Source organism: Homo sapiens, chromosome 7 (assembly GCF_000001405.40).
Source record: "Homo sapiens chromosome 7, GRCh38.p14 Primary Assembly".
NCBI lineage: Eukaryota > Metazoa > Chordata > Mammalia > Primates > Hominidae > Homo > Homo sapiens.
In genome coordinates, this window is record NC_000007.14 from 66,577,449 (window position 1) to 66,595,135 (window position 17,687).

Genomic DNA, 17,687 nt, shown 5'->3' on the forward strand with positions numbered 1-17,687 from the left:
CCACATATCTAATAAGGAGTTAATATCCAGAACATAAAGGAACTCTTACCACTCAGTAACAAAAAAAACAAGATAATCCGGTTTACAAATGGGAAAAGGACTGCAATAGACAATTCTCCAAAGACATACCAACAGCCAATAATCACGTGAAAAAGTGTTCAAGATCATTAAATCAGGGAAATGCAAATCAAAACCACAATGAGATATCTCTTTGTACCCATTAGGATGGCTACTACAAAAAAAACATTTGCAGTTTTTGACGTGGTGGCAAATAAGCACATGAATAGTTGATCAACATTGTTCAATCATTAGAGAAATGCAAATTAAAACCACCATGAGATATCACTCAAACCTATTAGAATGGCCAAAATAAAACATACTGACACAGCCTGGGCAACATGGCAAAACCCAGTCTCTACCAAAAAAATACAAAAAAAAAAATTAGGCAGCGATGGTGGTGCATGGCTGTGGTCCCACCTACACAGTAGGCTGAGGTGGGAGGATCACTTGAGCCTGGGAGGTGGAAGTTGAAGCAAGCCAATATTACACCACTGCACTCCAGCCTGGGTGACAGAGTGAGACCCCACCTCAGAAAAAAAATAAATACTGACAATACCAAGGGGTGGCAGGGATGCAGAGCAACTAAAACCCTCATACCTTCCTAGTGGAATGCAAAATAGTACAGACACTACTAGAGAAAACACTTCCATAGTTTCTTAAAAATGTGTAACATACAATGACCATCCAACCATGCAATCCCTCTCCTGGGTATTTCCTCTAGAGAAATAAAAACTGCTATTTACAAAATTCTATACACAGTTATAGTAGCATTATTTGTGATGACAAAAAATGACAACTAAAATATCCTTCAATGGGTGAATGAATAAACAAATTATGGTACATCCATACAACAGAATGCTACTCAGGAAAACAACAACAACAGGTATCAGAACACCCAACAACTTCGATGAATCTCAGAGGCTTTATGCTGATAGAAACCAGCATCTTAGTTCCTTCTGGCTGCAGTAACAAAATACCATAAACTGGGTAGGTTATAAAAAACAGAAATTTATTTCTCACAGTTCAGGAAGCTGGCAAGTTCAAGATCAGGAAGTCAACAGATGTTGGTGTCTGGTGGTTCACTGAAGGTACCTTCTCCCTGTGTCCTCACATGGCTAGGCTCTCTGCGGTCTCTTATAGGTGCACTAATCCCAATCATGAGGGCTCCACTTTCATGAACTAATCACCTCCCAAAGGCTCCACCTCCTAGTAGCATCACCTTGTGGATTAGAATTTCAACATATGAATTTGGAGGACACACAAAGATTCAGACCATAGCAGCCATCTTAAAAGTTTACATACTGTAAGATTCCATTTAAGAACTAGGGATAGGAAAGAATGTGACTTATAAAGGATTAGCACGAGAAAGTTTTTAGGGGTGATGAAACTGTTCTGTATTCTGATTGTGGAGGTGTTTACATAAATCTATTAAAATTTAGAAATTTGCAGAACATTATATTCCTCCCAAATCAATTTTACTCTATGATAAAAAAAACAAAACAAAACAAAAAAAAACCAACCTCAGCCGGGAACGGTGGCTCACACCTATAGTCACAACACTTTGGGAGGCCGAGGCAGATGGATCACCTGAGGTTAGGAGTTCGAGACCAGCCTGGCCAACATGGCAAACCCCGTTTCTATTAAACATACAAAAATTAGCCAGGCGTGGTGGCAGATGCCTGTAATCCCAGCTACTCAGGAGGCTGAGACACGAGAATCACTTGAACCAGGGAGATAAAGGTTGCAATGAGCCAAGATCACGCCACTGCATTCCAGCCTGGGCAACAGAGCGAGACACCATCTCAAAAAAACAAAAAACAAAACAAAACAAAACACTTGAGAGGCAATTTCTAGGTTGGATTAGAGAGAAGTACAGAACAGGAGACACGGATACTGACCAAGACACAACTACAGTCAAGGACTAGAGGTAACACAGTGGGTAGCTAGGTGTGGTGGCGCTTGCCTGTAATCCCAGCTACTCGGGAGGCTCAGGCATGAGAATCACTTGGACCCGCAAGGCAGAGACTGCAGTAAGCCAAGATCCCACACCAGGGCACTCCAGCCTGGGCAACAGAGTGAAACTCCGTCTCAAAAATAAATAAATAAATAAATAAATAATCTTGCCATTATCATCCCGTGTCCCTTTTCTTCCCTTTCAAGAGAAATGGGCAAAAGGAAATACTTATTTTTTCGCATAGATCAATTATGTTTTTTAAATTTTGTACTGTTAAGTATGATAGTACTACTCAATGTTACTAAAATGAACATAAGTTTGGGGAGTCTGCCTAGCACGTGCAAATACCTCCTGTGTATCAGGAAACTGTCCTCTCAATCCACAAATATAAGCTGGCAGCAGCTATATTTGTATGAGGTGAACAGTCCCCCAATTCAGGGTCACAGCTGATTGCCTCCAAATGTGTTAGAGTCTTTTGCTTGGAGTTTTGGAAATGGGACTAAGTCACGGCTGTTCTCTTGAATGATGGAGCTGTGTGACATGATCATCTTCCATCCAGTGGTCTGAGAATCAGGACAGTCTACAGAGTAAAATAGACATATCCCAAGAAGCAGAGAAAAGTAGAAGGTCCTATACGTCCTGAGTGATTTCAATCTCCCAGTTCCAATCCCTGGCTAAGGTTTACATGCACGCCCATCCTCAGATTCTGAGTCATACACCCTGGTCCCCTAACTACTTTTGTCGTTTTTTCTTAAGCTGGTTCCAGTAGAGCCTATTATCTATGCCAAAAGACTTGTACAGATGCTCTTTAAGAGCTAGAAAAACATAAAGGAGTGCTCTGTGGATTACTTGGCATACAATAAAAGCTCACTATGTATTAGACAGAAACAATAGCTCTGAGTCTAAGAAGACTGATTTGGTGTGGACCATGAAATCACAGAGATCAGTCCTATCTGCACTCCAACCCCAGCTCTGCCACGTACTGGAAATGTAACTTTAGGCAAACTATGTAATATTTCTGAAACTCCCTTTCCTATCTCCCTCTCCAACCTCTCTGCTCCTATCATTCTCCACCTTTTCACCCAACTAAGCCTCATAGGACCTGTGCACCCATGACCTTCACTCTCTGGTGCTACACCTGTGATTATGTCACCTTACACTGCAAAAAGGACTTTGCAGATATAATTAAGTTGACTAATCATTAAAATAAGGAGACTATGCTAGATATCTAGATGGGCCCAATGAAAGCACATGAACTCTAAAATGCAGAAGAGAACAAGGACCCAGAATGGCCAAAACAATCTTGAAAAAGAATGTAAGAAAATTGACATTTCCTGATTTCAAAACTTACTACAAAGCCATGGTAATTACTACAGTGTGGTACTGGCACAAGGACAGTCATAGAAATCAACGGAATAAATTGAGATTCTAGAAATAAACCCACAATTCTTCTGTCAACTGATTTTCCACAAAAGTACCAAGACCATTCAATGGCGAAAAAAGAGTCTTTTCAGCCGGGCGCAGTGGCTCGCGCCTGTAATCTCAGCACTTTGGGAGACCGAGGCGGGCAGATCATGAGGTCAGGAGATCAACACCATCCTGGCAAACATGGTGAAACCCCATCTCTACTAAAAATACAAAAAAATTAGCCGGGCGTGGTGGTGGGCGCCTGTAGTCCCAGCTACTCGGGAGGCGACCACCTCAGACTCCCAAAGTGCTGGGATTACAGGCATGAGACACCACGCCCACCCCCAGGCTTTTGTTTTAAGGCTGAGTGTGTTAGGCCTCATGGGCAGCCTCTCTGACTTTCTCCTGCCCTCCTTTTACCTGCCCCAAGGCAGGACTCTACTCTGGATTGGTCTTAAACCCTCCCCAGCGAGGGTCCAGCTCTATACTCTGAGGGACGAATGCTGATGTCAGGAAGCCTCCATAAAAACCCAAGAGAACTGGGCCCGGGAAGCTTTCAGATAGCTGCACAGTGGAGGTTCCTGGAGGGTGTACGCCCAGGGAGGGCATGGAAGTTCTGCACCTTCCCCCATTCCTCGCCCCCAGCATCTCCTTCACCTGGATCCTTTGCAATATCTGTTGTAATAAACCGGTAAACATAAGCATCTCCCTCAGTTCTGTAAACCACCTCAGCAAATTATTGAACCTAAAAAGGCAGCCATGGGAACCCCAACTTGAAGCTGGTCAGTTAGAAGTCCTAAAGGCCCGGAGTTGCAACTGATGGGGGTTAGGAGGGGCAGTCATGGTGACTGAGTCCTCACCCTGTGCGATCTGACCCTATCTCCTGGTAAATAGTGCAGGAACTGAACTAAAAGACACCCAGTGCAGAAAGTGAACTAGAAGACACCCAGCTGGTGTGTTGTGTAGGGGAAGAATCCCCACACATATGGTCATGGAAGTCTTCTGTGTTGATGACTGCTGTGGCATGAGCAGAGGAAAAATACAGTTTGAGGAGTTTTTTCCCTGCACAAATGGGCATATCATAGGTTCTCAAATCTTTGTTGCAAGAACAATAACTGAATGAATAAGGTTATTGTAAAGACTATAGAATAACATGGCTAAAAAGCAATGATACTTAACTGCTTAATAAATACAAAAATCCCTTCCCCGGGGCCAGGTGCAATGGTTCACGCCTATAATCCCAGCACTTTGGGAGGCGAAGGTGGGAGGATGGCTTGAAACCAAGCGTTCAAGACCAGCCTGGGCAACATAGCAAGACCCTGTCTCTATTATTTAAAAATGTTCAAAAATCTCTTCCCCTCATGAGTGATTAGCCATTTCTTCCCCTCATGAGTGATTAGCCATTACGTTAAAATTATACATGCTGGATGGGCACGGTGACTCACGCCTCTAATCCCAGAACTTTGGGAGGCCAAGGTGGGCAGATCACAAGGTCAGGAGTTTGAGACCAGCCTGGCCAACACAGTGAAACTCCGTCTCTATTAAAAATACAAAAATTAGCCGGGCATGGTGGTATGCGCCTGTAGTCCCAATTACTCAGGAGGCTGAGGCAGGAGAATCACTTGAAACCAGAAGGCAGAGGTTGTGGTGAGCTTAGGTGGTGCCACTGCACTCCAGCCTGGGCAACAGAGCAAGACACTATCTCAAAAAAAAAAAAAAAAAATTATACACGCTATCCAACTTTACAAGGGAAAATAAACATCATCTATGGGATGGTTAAATAAACTGGGGCATGATCACACGAGAGAATACCTAACACCAAAAAGAACAAACTATTAACACATGTAAAGACCTGGATGCTCAAGAGCAAAATGTTGAGTTTTTTAAAAAGTGCATCTTAAAAGGTCACATACTCTAGGATTTCTACAACCTTTCCAAATGACAAAACTACAGATATGGAGGACAAATTAGTGCTTTTTCCAGGTTAAGAGTGGCGAAGGCAAGGGAGAGGAGGGGAAGGAAAATGGTGTAAGCAGTTAACCCAGCAGGCCTGAGTTGCTCAAATGATGCACATTCTCAGACAGGCCTGCTTGGTCAGCTGGGTTAGACTGGCCCTTGGTCAGCTCCTAGAAACTAAGGTCTTGTACTAGCCCTATGCCCTAAATGATAAGGGTGTTTTTGTATGGTTACGGTACTGAACCACACTGTCCAGCTTGTCTAGATATTTTGTGCAAACTGTATGATTTATGGTAAACACCTGATTTCCTTCTGGAGTTGCTCTAAAAGTGATAACCACAAAGGGACTATATGCCTATGTGATATGGTTTGGAACTGTGTCCCCACCCAAATGTCATGCTGAATTGTAATCCCCAATGTTGGAAGTGGGGCCTGTGAAAGGTGATCTGATCATGGGGCAGTTACTCATGAATGGTTTCGCACCATCCCCTGTGGTTCTGTGCTTGTGAGATCCGGTTGTTTAAACATGTGTAGCACCTTCTCTCTTGCACCTGCTCCCACCAGGGGAGACACTTTGCTCCCCCTTTGCTTTCCACTATGATTGGAAGCTTCCTGAGGCCTCCCTAGAAGCAGAAGCTGCAATGCTTCCTGTACAGCCTGTAGAACTGTGAGCTAATTAAATCTCCTTTCTTTATAAATTACTCAGTCTCGGGTATTTCTTTATAGCTATGTGAGAATGAACTAATATACTATGTGACCAGTCTCCAATAAAAACCCTGGATTCTGAGGCATACATGAGCTTTCACAATAAAAAACACTTCACACATGTTGTAGAGTTTAAGGCTGGGGAAGTAAGCACATCCTGGGTAACTCTGCTGGGAGAAGACTCTTCAAATCTTAACAATGCTGGTGTCCTGTAGAATCTGCTGAATGCACAACTACCTTTTATTAATCCTGCTTTGCATCCCCCCTCACTGTAACAAACCACAGCAAGGAATAAATATGTCCTGTGAGAGCCTCAAGTGAATTACAAAAACTGGGGGCAGCCCTGGGGACTGCTGACACAGGATGTGACTAAAAGGGCATGAGGGAAGTCTTTAGGGTAATGGAATAGTTCTGTATTTTGACTATGGCGGTGGCTACAGGAATCTACATATGAGATAAAATGTGCATGACACTATACACACACATTGCACAAATATCAATTTCCTGGTTTCACATTATATTATAGTTATGTAAGATGTAACCATTAAGCAAACTAGAAGAATACACAGGACTTCTCTGTACTATATTTATAGCTTCCTATGGATTTGAAGTTATTGATTATTCCAAATTTTAAAGTTTTGTTAAAAATCACACGAGGCCGGGCGCGGTGGCTCACGCCTGTAGTCCCAGCACTTTGGGAGGTCAAGGCGGGCAGATCACGAGGTCAGGAGATAGAGAACATCCTGGCTAACACGGTGAAACCCGCCTCTACTAAAAATACAAAAAAAAATTAGCCGGGCATGGTGGCAGGCGCCTGTAGTCCCAGCTACTTGGGAGGCTGAGGCAGGAGAATGGCGTGAACCTCGGAGGTGGAGCTTGCAGTGAGCCGAGATCGTGCCGCTGAACTCCAGTCTTGGCGACAGAGCGAGGCTCCATCTAAAAAAAAAAAAAAAATTCACACGAACTTTTTAATAAAAATAAACACCTATCATGGGACTAATGTGTATCAGTTAAACACACGACTCAGATCATTCTGCTGCTTCTAAGTATAAAAAGAGAGCAAGGGTACCACCAAAAGAGAGTGCCATCATTTGAAAGGCTATGTGGTGGTGGTGACAGCTGTAATGGTAGAGAAGGTAGGACAGTCGGCACACCCAGATCGGACATCACAGCTACAGACAGCATATCCTGTAAACACAGGAAGAAACAGGGGGATCGACTGCATGAGACTCAACTCTTTCCTGGGCAGACAGACCTGTCCCTAGACAGGTAACCACCACCAGCACTGCTTCCAGGAGGGAGCTCCGAGGGGCCGCACATTGCTCCTGTTGGAGCACTGCACTCCAATAAATAGGAGCTTGATTGAACAACCTGGACATAAAGAATGCACAATTCAATTGGTCCCACCTATGTCAGGGAAGACAGAGTAAAAATGATCTCTGCTGCTGGGACAGTTAGGATTCTACAAATTATGCCCCAGGGCTGGGATTTATTCTGGGTCCATGTACTCTAAAAAGGACAGACAGGTACAAAGCATACTTACAAAGCTCACAGAACTATTAGTGTTCTTTCTTAAGGCTCTGGATGCAAACCAGTTTCATCTCAGAAAAGCAAAACGAAAACACTTTGCAGATGTGAGTATTTTCCCTCTATCCTTGAGCGGGCCCTGCTTCCTATTCCTGGGTTCAATGTCATGCCCTCACAGGTCACTCCTATCTCCAGGCAACTCATCTGGGACTTACAGGAAACACCCAATCAATTCTAGTAAAACGATAAGCTATCCATTGACCTCAGTTAAGGAATAAAACTTATGGGTGATTTTTTTCCCTTAAATTTTTTTTTCCAGTTAGAAAAGTAAAGAATACTCATTATTTACAAAACCTGATAATATATAGACAAGTAGAAAAAAAATGTGTTAATCATCATCCAGAGACAGTTACTATATGTAGTACATATTCCTATAGTGTTCCCTCTGCACTCATTCACCAAATATTTATACACTGATTGATTACTGTACGACAGCCACTTGGGACACAGGCACTTGGGACAGGCACTTGGGATACAAATGTAATTAAAAATAAATCGAACAGTTTGCTAGAAACAGAAACGGAATGCCAAAGGGTATGTGCATTTAAAATTTTGACATATACCAAACTGGTCTGACAAAATATACTATTTACATTCCCACCTACAGTGTATGAGAATCTGGTTTCCCATAACCTCATAAGCATAACATTATTGAACTTTAATTTGTCAATCTGACAGGCAAACAAAAAAAACCATTTAACGTGCATTTCCCTAAGGTTAGCCATCTTTGCAGATATTTATTGTCATTAATATATTTTCTTTGAAGAAATTAACTGATTTTGCTCATTTTTCTATGTCATTACTATTTTCTTTCGATTTATAGGTACTCTTCTCATATATCTTTCAGTCCTCAACTTCATGGTATGAAGACGCCATCATTCTAATAAAAGACTTATTAGCATCTGCAATCTGTAATCCAAGTTTCACCAACTTTCATATGATTAAGTATAATGCTTCCAAAATCAATGTGAATGTCAATGTCAGAGTTTTAATGTTAAATATAACAAAACATTATTTGTCCAAACATTAGCCTTGGAAAATAATTCCAAATGATAATCAACTCCCTAGAATACAATGTAGAGTTGATTGCTGCTGGAATGAGCAGAGCAAGCAGGGGAGCATTCTCAAGGAATGAGTTCTAGACAACAATCTTCTATTGCACTAGATCACACCCTCCTTGGTTAAGCAAAATTGTAACTCTAATCTGAGCATGCCCTTCTCCAGACTAACAGCTCAAAATTACATACAAGATAATCTGGCTACTGCAGCCTACTTTGTACCATTCTCTATGCCCTCGCCCAGGGAAGTAGCACATATGGTCAATTTATTCACTAAGTCACTAACCAAAAATTATTTATCTTAACTCCACCTAAAGTAACAGCAACCTGCAATACATGAGATGGTCTCTGTTAAAGGCATTTCTTTTCTTAAGTTTCTTTTCTTTTCTTTATTTGACATATTGTCTCGCTCTATAACCCAGGCTAGAGTGCAGTGGCATTATCACAGCTCACCATAACCATGACTGCCCGGACTCAAGTGATCCTCCCCACTTTAGCCTCCCAAGTAGCTGGGACTACACGTGTGCACCAACAACCCTGGATAATTTTTTTTTTTTTCCAGACTGAGTCTCACTCTGTCGCCCAGGCTGGAGAACAGTGGCGCGATCTTGGCTTACTCCAAGCTCTGCCTCTGGGTTGATGCCATTCTCCTGCCTCAGCCTCCAGAGCAGCCGGGACTACAGGCACCCGCCACCATTCCTGGCTAATCTTTTGTATTTTTATTAGAGACGGGGTTTCACCATGTTAACCAGGATGGTCTTGATCTCCTGACCTTGTGATCCACCTGCCTTGGCCTCCCAAAGTGCTGGGATTACAGGTGTGAGCCACCGCGCCTGGCCAACAGAGACAGGATCTAGCTATATTGCCCAGGCTGGTCTCAAACTCCTGGCCTCAAGCAATCCTCCCATCTTGGCCACACAAAGTGCTGGAATTACAGGAATGAGCCAATGCACTCAGCTCAGAATTTTTTTCTGAAAGGCATATCATAGTTTTAGCTTTGCTGCAGCCATTTCATCCATACTCACTTGCTGTGGCTGGGTAAAGTGATACACACATACACACACGCCCACACTAGTTTAGAGAAATACAAAACGCAATGCCTAGACCTGAAATGTATTTATTCAGATTTGTTAGATGGCGCAATCAAATAAATATCTGTGTTATGCTCTAAGCTTTTAAGAAATCTCTTGTATCTAAAATATAAGACACATATGTAAATGACATCCAACTGAGCTGGACTGACCAATGTACTGAAAAAGGGCTACCACATGCTGCTACAGGGCCTCACCCTGTTGGCCAGGCTGGTCTCCAACTCCTGGGCTCATGTGATCCGCCTGCTGTGGCTTTCCAAAGTGCTGGGATTACAGGTGTGAGCCACCATGCCTGGCTTAAATTCTAAACAGAAATAATAAAAGCCAGAAGATAATTTGACAGTGCTGAAACAATCTAAAGTATGATGGCTTTAAAAAAAAAAAAAAAGCTGAAAGAAAAAACCTGCCCACCTAGGATACAGTTCTAAGTGACCACTTCCTTTAAAAGCTGATGGCAAAGGCCTGGTACAGTGGCTCACACCTGTACTCCCAGCACTTTGGGAGGCCAAGGTGGGCAGATCACGAGATCAGGAGATGGAGACTGTCCTGGCTAACATGGTGAAACCCAGTCTCTACTAAAAATACAAAAAATTAGCCAGGCATGGTGGCATGTGCAAGTAGTCCCAGCTACATGGGAGGCTGAGGCAGGAGAATCGCTTGAACCCAGGAGACAGAGGTTGCAGTGAGATGAGATCGTGCCACTGCACTCCAGCTTGGGCGATGGAGCGAGACTCCGTCTCAAAAAAAAAATGGCCTGGCGAGTTGGCTCATGCCTGTAATCCCAGCACTTCAGGAAGCAGAGGCAGGTGGATCACAAGGTCAGGAGATCAAGACCAGCCTGGCCAACATAGGGAAACCCCATCTCTACTAAAACTACAAAAATTAGCCGGGCGTGATGGCGTGCGCCTGTAGTCCCAGCTACATAGGAGACTGAGGCAGGAGAATCGCTTGAACCAGGGAGGGGGAGGTTGCAGCGAGCCAAGATCTCACCACTGCATACCAGCCCAAGTGACACTGTGAGACTCTGTCTCAAAAAAAAAAAAAAAAAAAGGCTACATAGACATTTTCAGATGAGGAAAAAAAATTGTTATGGGAAGACATCCACTGGAAGAAATACCAGGGACAGCTCTTCAAACTCAAAGGAAAATTACCCTACCCCAACTGAAACACAGAGATGCAGAGGGAGTCTGGCCCAAAATACAACTTTTATATCCACTGGGTAACACAAAAATTTGTGTGACTCACTTTATTGCAGTGATGTGGAACCAAACCCATAACATCTCCAAAGTATGCCTGTAATATTTTACAGCAGCCCTAGGGAAAAAAACATACCATCCAATAAGAATTGTTGTAAACTCTACAAATAATTAGAAGAAATGAGTTTTCCACAAATTTACATCGAACTCTGGGTTCACAGCATCACTTATTCTTTACAAATAGGGCAATCATACACCCCAGTTAGCAAGCAACAGTCCTGGCCTAAAAGCACCCCCTTTGATTCTCAAAAGTGACCACCTGTGGATAATAAATTGCATGGTCATCCTATGTACGAACCCACTTAGAATACCCTTCTGTCTGTTCACCTTCAAATCCTACCCTGTTCAAGGATCAAGGGACATCTGACTCCAACTTCCCCACTGACAGGGTAATTCTCTCTCCAGTTCCTGTAGCTTTTTATAAATACAGCCATTATAATACTCATGTCCTATTACAATTACTTGCTTACATGTCCACCCCATGCTCTTAGCCACTTAGCACAGTGCCAGGAACTGAGCAGGTGCTCAACAGATGTTTTCTAAGTTTCTCAAACGATTCATCAGAAGACTGGCACAGTACCTGCAGAGACAGTGTTCTCTCACTTTTGTCCCTTCCACACTCTCCAGGGCCCAGTGAAGGTGGGAGTAAAAAATTAAACAGCAAACAACTAACCTGACAAGCAGTGTTTCTCAGACTTGAATGCACATCAATATCACTTGGAAGACTAGTTAAAACACAGAGTACTGGGTCCAACCTCAGTTTCTGATTCAGCTGGCCTGGGATAGGGCCTGAGAATTCGAATTTAACAAGTTTCCAGGTGATACTGCTAGGAACTACCTTTGAGAACCACTACTATAAAGAAAACACCACAATTATGAAAATGTCCATTTCTTCTCATGACTTCATTCCCAATGGGAGACTCCCTTTTCTGAATATGAGGAACCATGAGAGAGCTTTTGGAAAATACGAAAATCAAGACTTTTTTTTGTTTGAGACAGAGTTTCACTCTTCTTCCACAGGCTAGAGTGCAGTGGCGTGATCTCGGCTCACTGCAACCTCCACCTTCCGGTTTCAAGTGATTCTCCTGCCTCAGTCTCCCAGTAGCTGGGATTACAGGTGCCCACCACCACAACAGGGTTTCACCATGTTGGCCAAGCTGGGCTCGAACTCCTGACCTTGTGATCGGCCCGCCTCGGACTTCCAAAGTGCTGGGATTACTATAGATGCGCGCCTATAGTCCCAGCTACTCAGAAGGCTGAGGCAAGAGAAGCCCTTGAACCCAGGAGGCGGACCTTGCAGTGAGCCCAGATCGCGCCACTGCACTCCAGCCTGGAGGACAGAGCGAAAATCCATCTCAAAAAAAAAAAAAATTAACGAGGCAAGCTAAATTAGTAGGTGGCAGGCCTGTGGTCCCAGCTACTTGAGAGTCTGAGACAAGAGGATCGCTTAAGCCTGGGTGGTGGAGGCTGCAGTGAGCTGTGTTCCCGCCACTGCATTCGAGAGAGAGAGAGAGACCCATTTTTTTTTTTTTTTGAGACGAAGTCTCACTGTGTTGCCCAGGCTGGAGTGCATTGGTATGATCTCGGCTCACCACAAACTCCACCTCCTGGGTTCAAGCAATTCTCCTGCCTCAGCCTCCTGAGTAGCTAGGATTACAGGTAGGCGCCATCACACCTGGCTAATTTTTGTGTTTTTAGCAGAGATGGGGTTTCACCATGTTGCTCAGGCTGGTCTCGAACTCCTGACCCTGTGATCCAACCGCCTCAGCCTCCCAAAGTGCTGGGATTACAGGCGTGAGCCACAGTGCCTGCCAGAGAGACCCGTTTTAACCATAAAAGGACCCAGCTAAAAACTCTTCCCTGGTTCTGTCACCATCAGATGAAGCCTAAGCTCCTACATCTCTGTCCTGCACTTTTTCACTTTAATAACCACCCTCCAGGCTCGGTAGCCCATGCCTGTAATTTCAGCACTTTGGGACACTTGAGGAGGGAGGACTGCTTGAGTCCAGGAATTCAAGACCAACCCGGGCAACACAGCAAGACCCCATCTTTACAAAATCTTTAAAAATCAGCTAGGTGTGGTGGCACGCATCTGCAGTCTTAGGTACTCAGGAGGTTGAGGTGGGAGGATCACTTGAGCCCAGGCAGTTGAGACTTCAGTGACTCGTGATCGTGTCACTGTACTCCAGCCTGGGTGACAAAGTGAGACCCTCTCTCTCAATTAAATAAATAAATAAGCACCTCCTTGTAGTTACTGGCCTCCTCTCCTTTGGTTCCCCCCTCTCCGTCACTCCACCCTGTTAGTATGAATGTTACTCATTCTTCAAGACACATGCAGAAAGTATTCCCTGATCCCTTCTAGGCTCCACACCCAACAGCACGGCCTAAATGCCCGGCTCCTTCCTCGGTGCTCCATCTTAGCTCACACTCCTTACCACACTGTTTTGAAAGTATCTTGACTGTCCCTTCTCCTCAACTGGCTAACTTCTAGAGAGCAGAAACATGACTGCTTGGAAGGTCATTAAAAATTCAAATCCTGAACACTTCTTAATCCTGCAGATATGAATCAGTAACTCTTAAAAGCAAAATGTTATTTATCATTAAATATTAACAATATAATCACATTTTCTTGCATCTCTGGCAAGTTTCTTGGCATAACAATTTTAAGGAGCAGACTCCAACAGCAGTTAAAGCCACGCGATGGCTCACGCCTATAATCCCAGCACTCTAGGAGGCCGAGGCGGGAGCATCGCTTAAGGCCAGGAGTTTCACACCTGCCTGGGCAACACTGTGAGATCCCATGTCGAAAAATATAATAAATAAAAACAAAGCAGTTTCAGGTTTAGAGGGAGGAAAGTAGCTCTCCGAGCCAAAAACCAACTCCCAAGGTGCTCCGGTAAACTCGTCCTGGAAAAATCTCCTATTTAATCTCAAAGGCAAAACGAGTCCACGGGCGCCCACGACACATTTCCCAACCGCAAGGATTGGTCACCCGCGCTGAGACACCGCCAGCTGCCTATGACCTAGCCTCCAAAGCGGCAGAGTCCCCCCTTCTCTCTCCCTCAACTGCCGTGATGGGCACCCCTCGGCTCTCCTCCCAGACGGTTCGGAAGCAGGGACTTCTGCTCCTAACCCCAGCCCCGCAGCCTCGCCCTCAGCCACGGGGTGGAAATCAGGACCACAGGCTTCAAATCCCCTCCCCACTCCGGGACGCTTCTGTCCCCCCAGGGCAACGCGGGATCAAGTCCCGGCGCCCCTGCCGCGGCCGGGGTCTGTGGTTTGGGTCCGAGAGTCCCATCCCGGAGCGTTCCGGGGATGTTCTGTGAGAGGCCCCGCCCGACCACAAATGTTGCTTCGGAACCAGCGTCCTGGACGGGGAAGTGGGAGCCGGGCCGAGGGAAGCCGCCGCAGAGGGAGGCGGCCAAGAAATGCTCCGCCTCACGCCTTCGGGGCTTGGCCGGCCGCTGCAGACGCCGGCAACCAGCGCCTGAGACAGAGAAGCCGCGCACTGGGAGGATTAAGGGAGCCGAGGGCGGCCTGGAACGGGGCAGGCGGGGCTGACGAGGCTGGAATGTGGGACGAAGGACAGCGGGAGGCACCGACGCGCAACCGCCCCCGCCGCGCGGACGGCACAGACCAACCGCTCCCCCCAACCCCGGCCCGAGACACCTCGCCGCCCCGCTCCCGGAGCTGAGAGCCGCGCTGCTCTTGGCCCTAGTCCTTCCGCTCCGTACCTCGCCTGCGTCTCCACCGGCGTCCAAAGCCCCGCTCGCCCGCGTCGTTCGGGTAGGTCTCGACTCCGCGGTCCGCTACCGCCTCATACCCACCCTCCTCCTCGCCCCGCTCCCGGCACCGCCAGAATGCACGTTACGCACGGCGTGCAAACGTCACTTCCGTGGCCTTTGGCTCAGGACGGGAGGAGGTGTGGATCCAAAGGTGGCGCGTGCCTGTAACCCCACCTACTAGAAAGGCTGAGGCAGGAGGATCTGTTGAACCTGGGAGGCAGAGGTTGCGGTGAGCCGAGATCGTGCCACTGCACTCCAGCGTGGGTAAAAGAGAGAGATTCCCTCTAAAAAAACGAAAAAAAAAAAAAAAAAGAAATCCAAGATAAGATCACAGAACTGGCAGGTTTGGTTTCTCCTGAGGCCTCTCTTCTTGGCTTATAGATAGTCACTGTCAGGCCTCCGAGCCCAAGCTAAGCCATCATATCCCTTGTGACCTGCATGTATACATCCAGATGGCCTGAAGTAACTGAAGAATCACAAAAGAAGTGAAAATGGCCTGTTACTGCCTTAACTGATGACATTACCTTGTGAAATTCCTTTTCCTGGCTCATCCTGGCTCAAAAGCTTCCCCACTGAGCACCTTGTGTCCCCCGCCCCTACCTGCCAGAGAACAACCCCCTTTGACTGAAATTTTCCTTTACCTACCCAAATCCTATAAAACAGCCCCACCCCTATCTGCCTTCCCTGACTCTGAGTCCCTTCCAGGACTCAGCCTGCCTGCACCCAGGTGAAATAAACAGCCTTGTTGCTAACACAAAGCCTGTTTGGTGGTCTCTTCACACGGACACCAGTGAAAGTGACCTCTTCACTGTGTCCTTACATGGCCTTTTCTCTGTGAACATGCATTTTTAGTGTCTCTGTGTGTGTCCAAATTTCCTCTTTTTATAAAGTCACCAGTTGAATTGGATTAGGGCCCACCCTAATGGCATCATCTTAACTCACCTCTTTAGAGACCTTGTTTCTAAATACAGTTGCATTCTGATGTACTGGGATTAGGACTACAACATATGAATCTGGTGGGGATCACAATTAAGCCTATAACGTAATCATAATTACTTAAAAAATAAATAACATGGTGATATAGAATAACCAGGCAGGAGTGAGGGTTAGGGAGGCTAGGGAGATCGTGATAAGATGATGGCTCCAAGTTGAGAGCATGAGGGACTGTGAGGGTGAAGCCACGTGAGAAGAAAGAGGAGAAGGAAGATGCCAGCTGTCCTGGAGTTTAGGCAGGACTTAAGTGACTTTCAGACTGATCACTTATCCAAATATGAAAACTCTCAGGACTCAGAAAATGATACGACTGAGCAACAGTGCAGCACCAGGGCAGATGTTTTGGCTTCTTCTTGTGTAGCTCATCTCATATCTCCAGTTAGAAACTTTCCTTTTTTTTTTTTTTTTCTGAGACGGAGTCTCGCTCTGTCACCCAGGCTAGCGCAGTGGTGTGATCTCGGCTCACTGCAAGCTCTGCCTCCCAGGTTCTCGCCATTCTCCTGCCTCAGCCTCCCGAGTAGCTGGAACTACAGGCGCCCACCACACCCGGCTAATTTTTTTGTATTTTTAGTAGAGACGGGGTTTCACCGTGTTAGCCAGGATGGTCTCGATCTCCTGACCTCGCGATCCGCCCACCTCGGCCTCCCAAAGTGCTGGGATTACAGGCGTGAGCCACCGTGCCCGGCCAAGTTTCCTTGTATTTAATGTAGAATCTGATGGGAACAGGCCCCCCAAAATCTGGCCATAAACTGGCCCCAAAACTGGCCATAAACAAAATCTCTGCAGCACTGTGACATGTTCATGATGGCCATAACGCCCTTGCTGGAAGATTGTGGGTTTACCGGAATGAGGGCAAGGAACACCTGGCCCACCCAGGGCGGAAAACCAGAAAAACGCTTATAGGCATTCTTAAGCCACAAACAATAGCATGAGCGCTCTGTGCCTTAAGGACATGCTCCTGCTGCAGTTAACTAGCCCAACCTATTCCTTTAATTCGGCCCATCCCTTCGTTTCCCATAAGGGATACTTTTGGTTAATTTAATATCTTATAGAAACAATGCTAATGACTGGCTTGCTGTTAATAAATACGTGGGTAAATCTCTGTTCAGGGTTCTCAGTTCTGAAGGCTGTGAGACCCCTGATTTCCCCCTTCACACCTCTATATTTCTGTGTGTGTATCTTTAATTCCTCTACCGCCGCTGGGTTAGGGTCTCCCTGACCGAACTGGTCTCGGCAGAATTCCTCTTGCTGGGATATAAACCTGTATCCTCTTGTTCTGTCCCCAGAGAAGAGATGTCACAAGTCTGTTCATGTATTGGAATACTATTATTTATCTTTTCGGCAGACTTATTTTCTGCAAGTTGTTTTGGCTTTTCTTCTATAACTGCATCTGGGTAACCTGGCAGTGCAGAGCCAGGCCCTGGGCTTCAAGACAGGGACACACCAAGTCTCAGCACACAGACATGTCCCCACTCTGCTACCCAGCAGCCTAGGGAGTCAGCTGGACTAGTTAGTCGGCTTTGTGAAACTCTTCATCTGGGAAACAATGTTAGATTCTGGTTAAATTTAGCTCTGAATATGATCTTATCTATTTAATAATTTTTAAGTTTTTCTAAAAATCAAGTCCTCTGTACTTCTCTTAAGCTTTGGAGCCTAAATTAGAAATAGTCCTGAAATCAAAGTCTGATTTCTCCCTCTTATTTTTCTTTACATTCTGTTTCAGCTAATGATGCTTGTTCATTTATTGAACAGTTAAATAGCAGCTTGGACTCAAGTTCACTATAAAGTTCACAATTACTCCTTGGCCATTTCCAGCCAACAGTGGCTGCCATATT

The 17,687-nt window shown here is 45.4% G+C and overlaps 1 pseudogene across 8 annotated transcripts in view, besides 5 other annotated features; it reads right to left on the bottom strand.

The window, feature by feature from the left end:
• Positions 1-14,959, bottom strand: part of RABGEF1P1 (RABGEF1 pseudogene 1) — a 62,103-nt pseudogene extending 47,144 nt beyond the window's left edge. For 6 of the 8 annotated variants that reach the window (NR_111974.1, NR_111975.1, NR_111979.1 and 3 more), the window contains exon 1: positions 14,809-14,959. The product of NR_111974.1 is annotated as an RABGEF1 pseudogene 1, transcript variant 1 (transcript). Of the gene's footprint in view, positions 1-6,896; positions 7,019-11,063; positions 11,133-14,808 lie in introns of all 8 variants that reach the window. The other 2 variants (NR_111973.1, NR_111977.1) reach the window with 2 other exon arrangements.
• Positions 11,778-12,279: an enhancer, noted in NCBI's record as "H3K4me1 hESC enhancer chr7:66054213-66054714 (GRCh37/hg19 assembly coordinates)". NCBI's record gives its function as "activates a minimal SCP1, AML or CMV promoter by ChIP-STARR-seq in naive and primed H9 embryonic stem cells {active_cell/tissue: H9 hESC(naive and primed)}" and the evidence as "EXISTENCE:reporter gene assay evidence [ECO:0000049][PMID:30033119]".
• Positions 14,600-14,739: a silencer, noted in NCBI's record as "silent region_18207". NCBI's record gives its function as "represses an Ori minimal core promoter by ATAC-STARR-seq in GM12878 lymphoblastoid cells {active_cell/tissue: GM12878}" and the evidence as "EXISTENCE:reporter gene assay evidence [ECO:0000049][PMID:35858748]".
• Positions 14,834-15,128: an enhancer, noted in NCBI's record as "tiled region #7945; HepG2 Activating DNase unmatched - State 1:Tss, and K562 Activating DNase unmatched - State 1:Tss". NCBI's record gives its function as "activates a minimal TATA promoter and a strong SV40 promoter by Sharpr-MPRA in HepG2 and K562 cells {active_cell/tissue: HepG2 | K562}" and the evidence as "EXISTENCE:reporter gene assay evidence [ECO:0000049][PMID:27701403]".
• Positions 15,000-15,069: a silencer, noted in NCBI's record as "silent region_18208". NCBI's record gives its function as "represses an Ori minimal core promoter by ATAC-STARR-seq in GM12878 lymphoblastoid cells {active_cell/tissue: GM12878}" and the evidence as "EXISTENCE:reporter gene assay evidence [ECO:0000049][PMID:35858748]".
• Positions 15,387-15,558: a silencer, noted in NCBI's record as "fragment chr7:66057822-66057993 (GRCh37/hg19 assembly coordinates)". NCBI's record gives its function as "represses an EF-1alpha promoter that drives an FKBP-Casp9 reporter gene in an ReSE screen in K562 erythroleukemia cells {active_cell/tissue: K562}" and the evidence as "EXISTENCE:reporter gene assay evidence [ECO:0000049][PMID:32094911]".